The sequence below is a fragment of the Homo sapiens genome, chromosome 4, assembly GCF_000001405.40.
Source record: "Homo sapiens chromosome 4, GRCh38.p14 Primary Assembly".
NCBI lineage: Eukaryota > Metazoa > Chordata > Mammalia > Primates > Hominidae > Homo > Homo sapiens.
Window position 1 is genome coordinate 93074582 of NC_000004.12, and position 13023 is coordinate 93087604.

Here is a 13023-nt window from a genome sequence, read left to right on the forward strand (position 1 = left end):
CCTCAGAAAAAGAAAATCAAACTAAACTGAAATTAAGCAAAATAAAGGAAATTGTGAAGATCAGAGCCGAAATCAATGAGATAGAGAACAGAAGCAACAAAGAAAAATCAATGAAACCAAAAGCTGTTTCTTTGAGAAAATTAATAAAAGTGATAAACCTTTAGCCAGACTGGTTGGGATCAAAGAAGATACCATATAAATTATCAGTATCGTATAAAGAGAGCTGACATCACTTCAAATTTCAGGGGAATATTACAAACACCTTTATTTCAGTAAATTTGACAACTTAGATGAAGAAGGCAAATTCCTTGAAATATAAACGTTACCAAAGCTCACCTGAAGAAACAGATAACCTGAATATGCCTGTATATGTTTTTAAGACTGATTTTATAAACTCTCTCACTACTGAAACTCCGGGCCCAGAAAGTTTCACTGGTGAGTTCTACCAGACTTTTCAGGAAAAATGACATTAATTATACACAAACTCTTCCAGAAAATTCAAAATGTGTGACTATATTCTAACCCATTTACTGAAGCCAGCATTATCCTTGCAAGGATAATTTAACATTCAGAAATCAATCAATGCAATTGCCCATATTAGCAGACTAAAAAAGAAAAACCATATGGTTATCTCAATAGATGCAGAAAAAACTTCCAATAAAATCTAACATCCATTCCTGATAACTCTGAACAGCTCTATTCCTGAGCAAACTCTGTTCTCAGCAATAAAAGGAGACTTTCTCAAACTCATAAAGAGCATAGTCCAAAAACCTTCAGGTTATATTATTTTCAATTGTGAAAAACTGAATATTTTTCCCTAAAAATCAGGAAAAGGGGAAGGGTGGCTGCTATTACTACATCTATTCAAAATTGGACTGGTGGTACCAGCTGGTGCAATAAGGCATGGAAAAGAAATAAAAGGCATACAGATTGGAAAGAAAGAAGTAAAATTGCCTTTATTTGCAGATGACATGATTCTCTCTGTAGAAAATCCTACAGAAAAGGAAACTAGAAGAAGTGAGTTTAAGAAAGTTTCATGATATGAGATTAATACACAAAATCTTATGTATTTCCATATTTTCTGGCAATGAAATTTGGAAATTAAAATAAAAGTACCACTTAAAATAGAATATAAAAGTATAAAATACTTAAGAATAAATTGACAAAGGTGCAAGACATGTACACTGAATACTACAAAATATTGCTTAAATAAATTATTTGAAAAGCTAAATAAATGAAGTTATGTATAATGCTTATGAATTGGAATACTCAGTAAGTATTGGGATGTCGAAGTTACCTCTCTTTTTTTTTTTTTTTTTTTTTTTTTTTTTTTTTTTTTTGAGATGGAGTCTCGCTCTGTCACCCAGGCTGAAGTGCAGTGGCGCGATCTCGGCTCACTGCAAGCTCCGCCTCCTGGGTTCACGCCATTCTCCTGCCTCAGCCTCCCAAGTAGCTGGGACTACAGGCACCCGCCACCACGCCAGCTAATTTTTTGTATTTTTAGTAGAGACGGGTTTCACCGTGTTAGCCAGGATGGTCTCGATCTGACCTAGTGATCAGCCTGCCTCAGCCTCCCAAAGTGCTGGGATTACAGGCGTGAGCAACTATCTCTTTTTATAAGCACATAGACTGCTGAAGAAATAAGGTAATTAAAATAGCATGGCGGTGGGAGAGTGTGTGGAATGGCAGGAAGATACAATAGCAAGGAATAGGAACTAGAGATGAGCATGAAAATGTAAATCAGTGTCAGGTCATAAAGAATTCTGCATGCCATGCTAAGAGTTTGATTTTCACTTGCAGAAGTTGTATGATGACATTGGAAGTTTTATGTTTTTAAATTTTTATTTTAAATTGGTTTTAGATTTTCAGAAAAATGCGACAATGGTAAAAAGAATTCTCTTATATTCTTTACACTTTTCCTAATGTTAACATCTTATATAATGAAAGTGAAATTATCAAGAATAGTCATTGGATATTGATGCAGTATTACTAACTGAGCCGCAGACCTTCTTCAAAATTCACCAACCTCTTTTTTTTTTTTTTTTTTTTTTTTAATGACAGAGTCTCTCTCTGTCACCCAGGCTGGAGTGCAATGGCGCAATCTCGGTTCACTGCAACCTCAGCCTCCCGGGTTCAAGCAATTCTCCTGCCTCAACCTCCCAAGTAGCTGGGATTACAGGCAGGAGCTACCATTCCCGGCTAATTTTTGTATTTTTAGTAGAGACGGGGTATCACCATGTTGGTCAGGCTGGTCTCGAACTCCTGACCTCAAGTGATCCACCTGCTTCGGCCCAACCTCTTTATTAATGACTTTTCTATCTGTTTCAGGATTTTTGCCTAAGATCCCATATTTCATTAAATTGTCATTCCTGCTTAGTCTCTTCTAGTATGTAGCAGTCCCTCAGTCTTTTATTGATGACCTTTAAAACATGGGAATGACATAATGCGATTCAAAAATAGATATGATTGCTTACAGTATAGATGATTGGAGAAAGTGCTGTAAAATCAAGCCAGCTTAAAGACAGTTTTGGTAATTGAGTGTGTGGTGATATCATTTGAATTAAAGAACTGGCAGTAGATATTTCAAAAAAGAATAGTTTTGAGAAACATTAGGAGTAAAATTAACATTATGTGATAACCAAGTTGAGATGGAGGAGCATGGGAAACAAAAGTGAAGAAATAATCGAAGATGACTTCTGAGATTGGGTTGTGATATTCTAGGTAGATAGCAGTAACTGAGAAAGCAATGTAAAATATTATTTTGTCATTCTCTATCTTTCTCTTACACAAACATAAACACACTGTTCCCCACATCTTTCTCAAGATATTATTCTTACTTTTATGGGATATAATTTTCTGGACTATATTAAATATTCTGTCATTCATCCAGAAATAATCAGTTTCAAATCCAAGAAGTTTTATAAGGAACAATAATTTTAATAAATAGAATTTCTATAAAATGATTAAAAAGTTTTAAAGACAGACATATAATATGATCTGATTATCATTCTTGCCACAATTATGTTTAATCCTCACTCTTTGCTTGTTATGTTTATGATTATGTAGGTGAAGATTAAATTTTACCTATAATGACCAAATATGACATTCTGCACTCACCGAGTTTCCTAAAGTGCAATTGCTATATCTTCTATCAGCTGCCAATCAGTTATTAAGTATAGGACAGATAAGGTGTTGTTTTAGATAAACTGATAATTTTATAAATTTGCAGGCTATTGGGAAAAGGCCTTTCTAAACACAGTGTTAAGCAAAACAGTCTTAAAAGACTGACAATTTCATTGTATATAATTTTAAAATTTCTGAAAAGCTACATAACTCATAAATAAATTTAAAATACAAGACTAAAGGCAGTTAAATAAATGTGGATAAATAGTGGTGCTAAGGCATGTAAAGGTCTCCTTCATATTAATAACAAAAAGACAAACTCCATCATAGGTCATATTTCTTGCCTCTCCCGCCATTCTAACCTTGCACCACTCTCTACCATGCTCTTTGCACTCCAGCCACTTGGCTCCTCTTTCTGCCTTTCTGGTATTTCATTGTCTCTGTGTCACAGGATCTTTGCACATTCTATTTCTTCTTTTGGAAACATTTTCTTTACTCTTTTTCGTCAAGGTAACCTCCATCCACTTAATTAGTTCCTACTTACCCTTCAAATTGCAGCTCTATAGTCACTTCTGTAGCAAAGGCTTCCCCAATCTCTAGTTGAGGAAAAATGTTTTTGGGCTATCATAGAATAACGTTCTCTTTTGGCCTGGAACCTACTCAGTATGTCATTAAACATTCATATGAATATCTTCTGTCTCACCCATTATACTCTTGCCTATTTTGGGCCATTTTGCACCCTGAGTACCTGGTACTTGCCTGATATAGAAATACATTTTATATATATAATATACAGGTATATATATGCACATATATATGTGTTCTTTGAAGAATTGTTACTAAAATAAAAAGATAAAAAGATAGGAGATTGATCTGAATTTCCTTAAATCGGGAGCTATGAAATCTATCATTGAAAAATTATAAAGTAAATATGCTAAATATAATTATATTAGTAAATATCTGTATATTTAGTAAATATACTAAATATAATTATATTTATATACTGTATATACTAAATATAATTATATTTATATACTGTATATACTAAATATAATTATATTATATTTATATACTGTATATACTAAATATAATTATATTTATGTACTATATATACTAAATATAATTATATTTAGTATATTTACTAATTTTTGTAATTATATCATATAATTGTATTTTGTATATTTACTAATTTTTGTCTTGTATTTTAAATTTTATATATAAATTTTATAAAACTTATGAAAATATATAAATTATATATAAATATACATAGTAAATATCAAAAAATATGTGTTCCAGCCTTGTCTCTACTACTTAATAGCAATGTAAACATAAGCCTCAATTTAGTTTTGAAAAGGGGAATAGGAAAATATTCAATTTAGCCATGCTGATCAAATGATAAAATGTATGTGAAACCATTTTTTAAACTCCAAACAAAATAAAAATAAAGTAATATTTCATCATTATCATTTTTATTACATCAATGATGGTAGAATCACTTTAGGTCTGATTAAAAGTGTACTCAATACTTTCTAGGTTCTTCTCAGTACCATTTTGCAGCCTTGTTGAAATTTTCCTTTATAAACACATGGAGCTGAAATTATTTGGAGCTAAAACTATAGAGAATCAATGTTTTAATACCAAACTAAAAATTTTTTAAAAGAGAATACTATTAGGGATTCTTCTTCTTTCTTTTCTTTTTTTCTTTTTTATATCTAGGAGGCTGAATTTTTCTGAATTTTGTAATAAGGGAGAGTTAAAAACCCTCCTAATTTTTCATATGGGCCTTTCTGTTTAAAAACAATGATTTATTTTGTAGTTCTTCATGGCCCAGACATTCTAATCTAAGTCAGGTTTGAACCCCAACTCTGCCATTTACTAGTGTTACAGATTCACTAGTGGTATGATGGACAATGCATTTAATGTCACTGAGTCAGAATTTTCTTACTTGAAAGTTGGAATAATAATAGCTTTTCTGCACACGGTTGTTATGAGATATAAATTGAAAAATAAGGTGACTTATAATATGTGCCAGGTTAAATGTTTAATTCTTCTCAGGTTTGGATCACTAATTATAATTAAAGGTTCACGTTGGCTTTAGATGAGTGAAAAAATAGTTGACTGAAAATTACTCAACTGAGTTCATTTGATGGCTGGTGATCAACCATTTAAGCACTTCTATTTTGTAAGAAGGAATAAAATCTTAACAATTTTTAATTAAAATATTTTTTCTGTATTTTCACTTCCTAAGTAGATAATTATGATTAACTTGGACCTTGTAACACTATTTACATATTAAGGCAAGCTTTATTTGGAAGAATTTGTTCCAGATGATTTTATTTCTGGCAAACTACATTGATGAGGTCCCAAATATAGACCATCTTCTAAATGTCACATCTCAGATGGTTGCTAAAAATCATATTTGCAAAGAATTCTAAATGTCTGGGTAAGCTGAAATTGTTTTGTGTTACTGTATTCCTAGAAGTATAAAAGCAAATGTCTGGAGCTTTTTGGTGGAATATTAAAAAAGCAATCATAAATAGTATATTTGTGATTTGTTAATAAACAGAAAAAAAGTAATTAGATTATATTTAGTCATCATAGAAAGAATACACAAGTAGTGAAGTTCCACTGCCCAGTTATGGTCATTGTTGAGTATGACTGAAGATTATTGAAAAAATAATAAAAAGTCAACAAATATTAGATGTTCTGCAACAATTACTTGAAAGAGCATTGAAGTTACAATCCGCCAGGCTACTGTTTCTCAGAAAGGGTTACACATCAGAACTATTCAGGTAACATTTCATAATGCAAATACATGACTACCACACTGGACTGAATAAACTAGAAACTCTAGGAGTAGACTTAGTCATCTCTCTCTCTATTTTTAATCTCCACTTTTGATTGTGATGCAGGGCAGATTTTGGAAAGACTATGGTGGACAAACTGGGAGCACTTTGAGGATAGAACCTGTCATATACATTCTCTGATCTCCAGGGAAGTTCCTTGGACGTGGTTGAAAGTTGATTATTTATATTGATGAATAAGTATGTCTTAATCCCTTCTGTGCTGCTATAACAGAATACTTGAGACTGGGTAATTTATAATAAACAGAAACTTATTTTCTCACAGTTTAAGAGGCTGGGAAGTCAAGATCAATACACTGGCGTCTGGAGAAGGTCTTCTTGCTTGCTGTGTCATCCTATGGAGGAAGGGCAAAGAGAGGGCAAGAGAAAGCCAAGGGGAGGCCAAACCTGTCTTTTGATAAGGAGCCCACTCTTGCTATAATAGCATTAATTCATTCAGAAAGGTAGTGCCCCCATGACCCAAACACATCACATTAGGTTCCACCTCCCAACACCAACACATTGGGGATCGAGTTTTCAATATTTCAACTTTGGGGGACACATTCCAACCACAGCAGTGTATGATGTAATGTGCTAAAGTCCTGATGTGTCTTAAAATCACCGGAGGAAGTTATATCGGGACAAATTGGTAAATATAAATAAGTCAGAAAAAAAAGATCACAAAGAAGATATATGTTCAAAAAGGATGATGCTACCAAAAAATATTTCACTGAGTTCTCATTTTCAGTAAGAGGTAATAAATTTTTTAACTCTTTATGCATTTTATTTTTAATCTTGTTTTACTTAGTAAGAAAACAAAGACTCAAAATATTTAGCTTAAGAAATGAAAATGTTAGTGTACATGAATATATCTTAGCTTAAATGGATACATTTATAGAGCAGAATTAAATTCCATAACTGCAGAGTGACCACAAAGGGCAAAAGTGTTGCAATTGCTATTAAAAATAATAAAAATAATAGTTGTGCTTTTGGCAGTTAGTGCAGGCTCCAAACATCTTTGGTAGTGACAGAATCTCAAACAACTGGAGTCATAAAACCAGCAAGCTTTTCAATATGATCTGTATGTATAGATGTTTACGTATATGTGCATATATAGTATAAATAAATCACAAGGCTTGAAATAATAATAAAGAACTATGCCATTGAGATGTCATAGGTTTAGATTATTTTAATTTAAAATAGTTGATAAATACACGTTCTGATCTTTCAAATTCAGTTCTCATACTATATCAAATGAACTGACTATGCATTCTATGAAACTGCAACTCATAATAATAGTCTCTTAATTGTCAAGACATGAAATTCTTGCAAAAGGTAGTCTGCGTTGCTAAGCTTTGCTTCTGTTCTTACTGCAGCCTTTTATTTCCTGAAATCTCCCTTCAGCTGCCATGAGTTATAGCCTATTTTTATACTAACCTTCATCTAGGGCCCTGTAGATCCAAAGCAAATCAATTTCTATCTGCCATGCTTCAACCGACATTTTGTTTTGGTAAAATAGGGCCAAATGGGCATCAAATACAGCCTTGAAGGGGAAATGGCAGGTTGCTGTGGAGGCCCGTTCTTATATGTGCACAACTGCGGCTTTGTTTTGAGTCATCCAGTCCCAATTCATTTTACTTGTGTGAGCTCTTCCTTTCCTCTTCAGTGGGACTACCTCCTTTCAACAAACTTGACAATAAAACAATCTCAAATTGAGCTTTCCCCTATTTAGAGCTTTATCTTTACTTCGCTATGCAAAATTTTAAGGATACAACTACAAGACTCCATTGTTTGCTTGTTGTGGTGAAAAGGATGATTGGTTAGAGAGCTGGGTCATCTATTTTGTTTTTTAAGTGGGTGCATTTGTGATTTCTTGACAATAAAGGATTGGGCCCTCTCAGAGGGATGCGCATTTATAACTTGCAGGCCACCACTCTCCCACTCTCTATGAGAAACCTGACAAAATGATTTTGGTACTTTTTCTTATTGAGTCTCAAACTCTCAAAATAGTGTTCCAGGATGCCAATTTACCAACAAGTCATCAAAAGCACAGCAGGTAAAGCCAATTTCCCATCCTTGGACTGCACGATCTCTAAATTATCTTTTAGGCCTGACATTATATGCTTTCTGGCTGCAATTTTTGATTATTCCGATTTTGATTTTGTAGGAAAATTTCAGTTATTCTTGCTAATATGAATAGCACGATAGGCAATACCAAACAGTAATCCAAAAACAAAGTTTTTGTATACAAAATTAACTGGTTTTAGTATCTGCTTAGTTCGTGTTTAATAGGAAGTAACAGTGGGTTGGAAGAAACAAGATTTTATGCTAAAGCAAATGTATCTACTAAGCAAGATTAATATATGACTTTTCATTTTGGAATATATCCTTCTAAATCTGAAGACTAAAACAGACAATTTTCCTGTCATGTTACATGTGACAGAATATAATATTGAAAGTAAATTTTTCCCCAAATTTCAATGTTTATAACTGTATAAATTTTGTGGTAGAAGTATGTAAAATATTATATTTACTTAATTTCCTGTAATTAGTGTAATCTAAAGATTGACTCCAACTGTGTACCCCTTAAGGCACTTTCTTATTTTGATTTTAAATGCTACAAACCAAAATCTCTTCTAAAAAGTGACTTACTACTTACTATTTGCTTATATAAATCATTAATGGTCATATATACCAAAATAATGAAATAAAAATTTGACTACTCTTTTTGCATTAATTCATTGAAATTATAAGTATACACTTATATTATTTTCTATGAAAATTGAATTCATGAACATGACTAGAACATATGATTTTTGCTAAAATTAGACCTCACAATGTTATGGTCTAAGAAGCATCCATCCAGGCCAGGCACGGTGGCTCACACCTGTAATCTCATCACTTTGGAGGCCGAGGCAGGTGGATCACAACATCAGGAGTTCCAGACCAGCCTGACCAACATGGTGAAACTCCGTCTCTACTAAAAACACACAAAAAAATCAGCTGGGCTTGGTGGCACAGGCCTGTAATCCCACCTACTCAGGAGGCTGAGGCAGGAGAATCACTTGAACCCAGGATGCGGAAGTTGCTGTGAGCCAAGATCACACCACTGCACTCCAGTCTGGGCAACAGAGGGAGACTCCATCTCAAAAAAAAAAAAAAAAAAAAAAATACATCCTTGATGCTTTCACATTTATTGGAAATCAGTATAATCTCTTTCATGAGGCAATGCTTGAAAAATATGTCTCAAATAATTATTCATTATTTTGCATGTATTGGTTGGCTTAGCATTAATAAATTAATAATAATAAATTTATTTGATGATGATATGCTTATCATTAGTACAGCACTTTTAAGCTTGCACTTTAAATCAGCCTTCATTAACTGGCCAGTTAATTATATACAAGAACTTACCATTAAGTTTTCCTTTAAGTTTTTAAAGAACTATGTAAAACAATTTATAATAAATTTTGAATCTTAAGAATGTTATACCTAGAATGCCTAAAATCTAAAATAAGGCTGAACCAGTTATAAAATGAAAATAATTTTTTCATTGATTTCTTCACTGATTTTTGAACTTATTTTTAATTTTTTATCTTCAAAGTTTGCCATTATGAAACATTACCTCTTCACTCTTTTTTCTGTGTATACAATTTCTTTACATTTACTTATAATTTATATTTGATCTAGTTTTAAGTACATTTTGAGGTATGCACATAGAAGAGTTAAAGTGAAATAAAAATAGATTGTAACCATATAATAGGAATTATAAATTGTTGATCTAGGAACCAGAATGAGACACTGGCTACAATGTAGTATTTGAAATTATTTGATTTGACCATAAGCTTTCTTACTGTCAAGGAAAATAACAAAAACATTTTTGTTTCTCCAGTTTATGGAAAGGGGCAATGTCATCAAGTTTTTAGATATCAGAATCATTCTGTTTTCAGTGGCCAGAAATGCTTTTCTCCAAACCTTCATCTTTCTGTTTATTCACCGGTTTACATATTATCTACTTTTTGAAACCTTGTATTATGCCTTCAGTAGGGAATTATCTTTTCTCTGAATTATAAATTGATAATTACAAAAGTTTATCTACCACTAATTGAATATCTATCATGTGAGAGGCAAATAACAGACACTGTTTTCTCTAATCCTTGCAATAATCCTGCGAGATTCATGCTATTTTACCCTCTTTACAGATGATGAAACCGAGCCAAGAGAAGCCAAGTGATTTGCACAAGGTCGCATAGATAATAAGAGCAGAATTCTTGGAATACCAATAGTGCTTTGTAATTTGAGGATCTCCTCATATCGAATGTTCCTTTCTAAAACATTTTCATAGCTATATAAAAAATCTGTAAGCTTTATCCATCCAGTGCTTCTCAAAAAGGGAAAACTATGTGAAACCCACTGACATTTTGAATATTACTGTGCTTTCTTGCAGCCTGTGAACTTATGAATCAAGGCATCTTGGCCCTGGTCAGCTCCATTGGCTGCACGTCAGCAGGATCCCTCCAGTCTTTGGCAGACGCCATGCATATCCCCCACCTCTTCATTCAGCGCTCAACAGCTGGGACCCCAAGGAGTGGCTGTGGACTCACCCGGAGCAACAGGAATGATGACTACACTCTCTCAGTTCGCCCACCTGTCTACTTGCATGATGTTATCCTAAGAGTGGTCACAGAGTATGCCTGGCAGAAATTCATTATATTCTATGATAGTGAATACGGTAAGTGTTTATAATTTGTTTAGGTTTTGTAAGCTGATATTTGCATGAGAAGCAAATTCATTAAATCTTAAAAGTTTCAAGGGTCTTACTCATTGTTATTTGTGGTTTTCTTGTCTTGTCATATTTTTCTTATAAACATAGCAACAACTGAAAATTGTGTTAATGTATTTAAGTCCAACATTTTGGTATAAAGTCAACTTTAAATATAAATACCTGTACCTACTTAATGCTTAGTTTACAAATGTTTCTAGAGAGAATCTGATTCCAATACATCTTGATTTTTCAACTAATGGGAATTTAGTCATAAAAACAACACCGTCTTTCTTCCCTTTCAAAAAAATGTATACCTCTCTATAATGCAGAAGATCATATTGGATAACCCTAGAACACTGAAAATTTACCTCTTTCTATTATTTGGCTAAATGAAATCTGAAAAATCTTGCTTACACCCTTGTGTAGACTTTAATACCTACTCAGTACTTAACTCCTTGGAGTCACTAAAATTATATCACCATACAGTTCATATTATATGTTGTCTACAGTAGGAAGTCTCACAAAAGTACTAAGTAGTAAAAAAAAAATTCTTTAATCTTCCAAGGTAAAACACAAAGCATTGTCCCTAAATTTATCATAATTTGAGAATAAAATGCTTTGTCTCAGTATATTTACTGGTACTTCATTAACAACTAAACAAAATAATATTTTTGTTTACATTTATTTTTTCTGAATTTATCTACCTTTTTTCTAACTGACCGATCCCCAATATCTTAATCTATAGATTCCCTCTTATTTGTGGCAGAAATAAAATAGAGATGAGTATGATCAAATGAGGGGAAATGAACAGATCTTGATAAAGAATGCCTATTTTGAAACATGTGTTTTCTTAGAGGTTATGTCTTGAGAAGGAGTCTTGGAAAAATTTCCTGTTCAGTAGGAATGGGTTCAGTTTTTACAGTTTTCTGAAAAGAAAGTCAGAGAGGATTTCACTCTCTGTAGCATAACTTATTTTTCTTTGCAAATAAGTAAATAAACATCTTAAAAAATGCTTTCTTGTCCTAAGCTACCCAGCAATGTGAACGATATTGGAGAACAGTTACACAAGAGTCGTCCAGAAAGTGCCATCAATAGAATTGAGAACAAACAAGTTGGCAGAAATCTAGGAATCAACAAATAAGAAAGAGCTCCTGTGGACTCTCAGGGAGGGAGAGCAAGTGGCAGTTACATTTAGCCCTAAATATTCAATGGTTGCATGGGGTTTTGGCAGCCAGAGTCTTATTAAACTTGGTGGGTAGGCTTCAGCCAAAGTCTGTGGCACTCTCTGGAAACACACTCCTTTGTCTCCAAGACGGAAATCCTTATTTTTGTTGCTTAATTCACGTTATTAAGGGGTCACAGAACAAAGTCTAAGAGACTGAAATGAATAAAATAAACAAAAAGGATATTAAAAATAATTGGCTCATCAGTTAAAGTAAGGATTGAACTCAACACAAGCCTGAAATTCCCTGATAGGATTATTTAGTGAACATAATAAACTCTTTGGAATCAACATGCTGAATAAGACTGTTGATTTTCTTACAGTCAGATTATTTGTGGCCTTTATAACTTAAATGGTATTTTCTTTTTTTACTTAAATGATATTCTTATGACCTCTGATCAAACATATATTGAAATAATAAATTTAAAAACAGTAACTTTATTTAAGCGGGGAGAACAATTTTCAGTTAGTACTATGAAAGTGATTTATTTATTTATTTATTTATTTATTTATTTTTTGAGATGGAGTCTTCCTCTGTTGCCCAGGCTGGAGTGCAGTGTCACAATCTCGGCTCACTGCAACCTCCACCTCCTGGGTTCAAGAGAGTCTTCTGCCTCAGCCTCCCAAGTAGCTGGGACTACAGGCACGTGCCAACACGCCTAGCTATTGTTTTTTTTTTGTATTTTTAGTAGAGATGGGGTTTCAACGTGTTAGCCAGGATGGTCTCGATCTCCTGACATCGTGATCCACCCACCTCGGCCTCCCAAAGTGCTGGGATTTAGAACAGAAAAGGAACTTTTGATTAAGGCATTTTCTCAACATTAAAACAAGAATATTACTCTTTCATTATAAATGACCATGAAGAAAGAAAATTCCTTGTTAGTTTGTTTCCAAGTCCTACATATATTATAGTCAGGTAATTTGTATAAAAGAAGACATTTTTATTACGGGTGAGATAACTATATTTTGAAAATATATACTAAATAAATATATAGTCACAGAATCATTTATGCATATTTGAAATTTCTTATTCTTTTCTCCTGAGTTTTTATTTGAGTAAATAAGATGGA

General features: G+C 33.0%; 1 protein-coding gene across 12 annotated transcripts in view; it reads left to right on the plus strand.

The window, feature by feature from the left end:
• The window catches only part of GRID2 (glutamate ionotropic receptor delta type subunit 2), a 1506491-nt gene that overhangs the window by 770616 nt on the left and 722852 nt on the right, over positions 1-13023 (plus strand). For 11 of the 12 annotated variants that reach the window (NM_001440459.1, XM_024454024.2, NM_001510.4 and 8 more), the window contains one exon: positions 10414-10698. The exons of the other annotated variant lie outside the window; for it this stretch is intronic. In NM_001440459.1, the coding sequence (NP_001427388.1) occupies positions 10414-10698 (285 nt within the window). The remainder of the gene's footprint in view (positions 1-10413; positions 10699-13023) is intronic. 12 annotated transcript variants of the gene reach the window in all.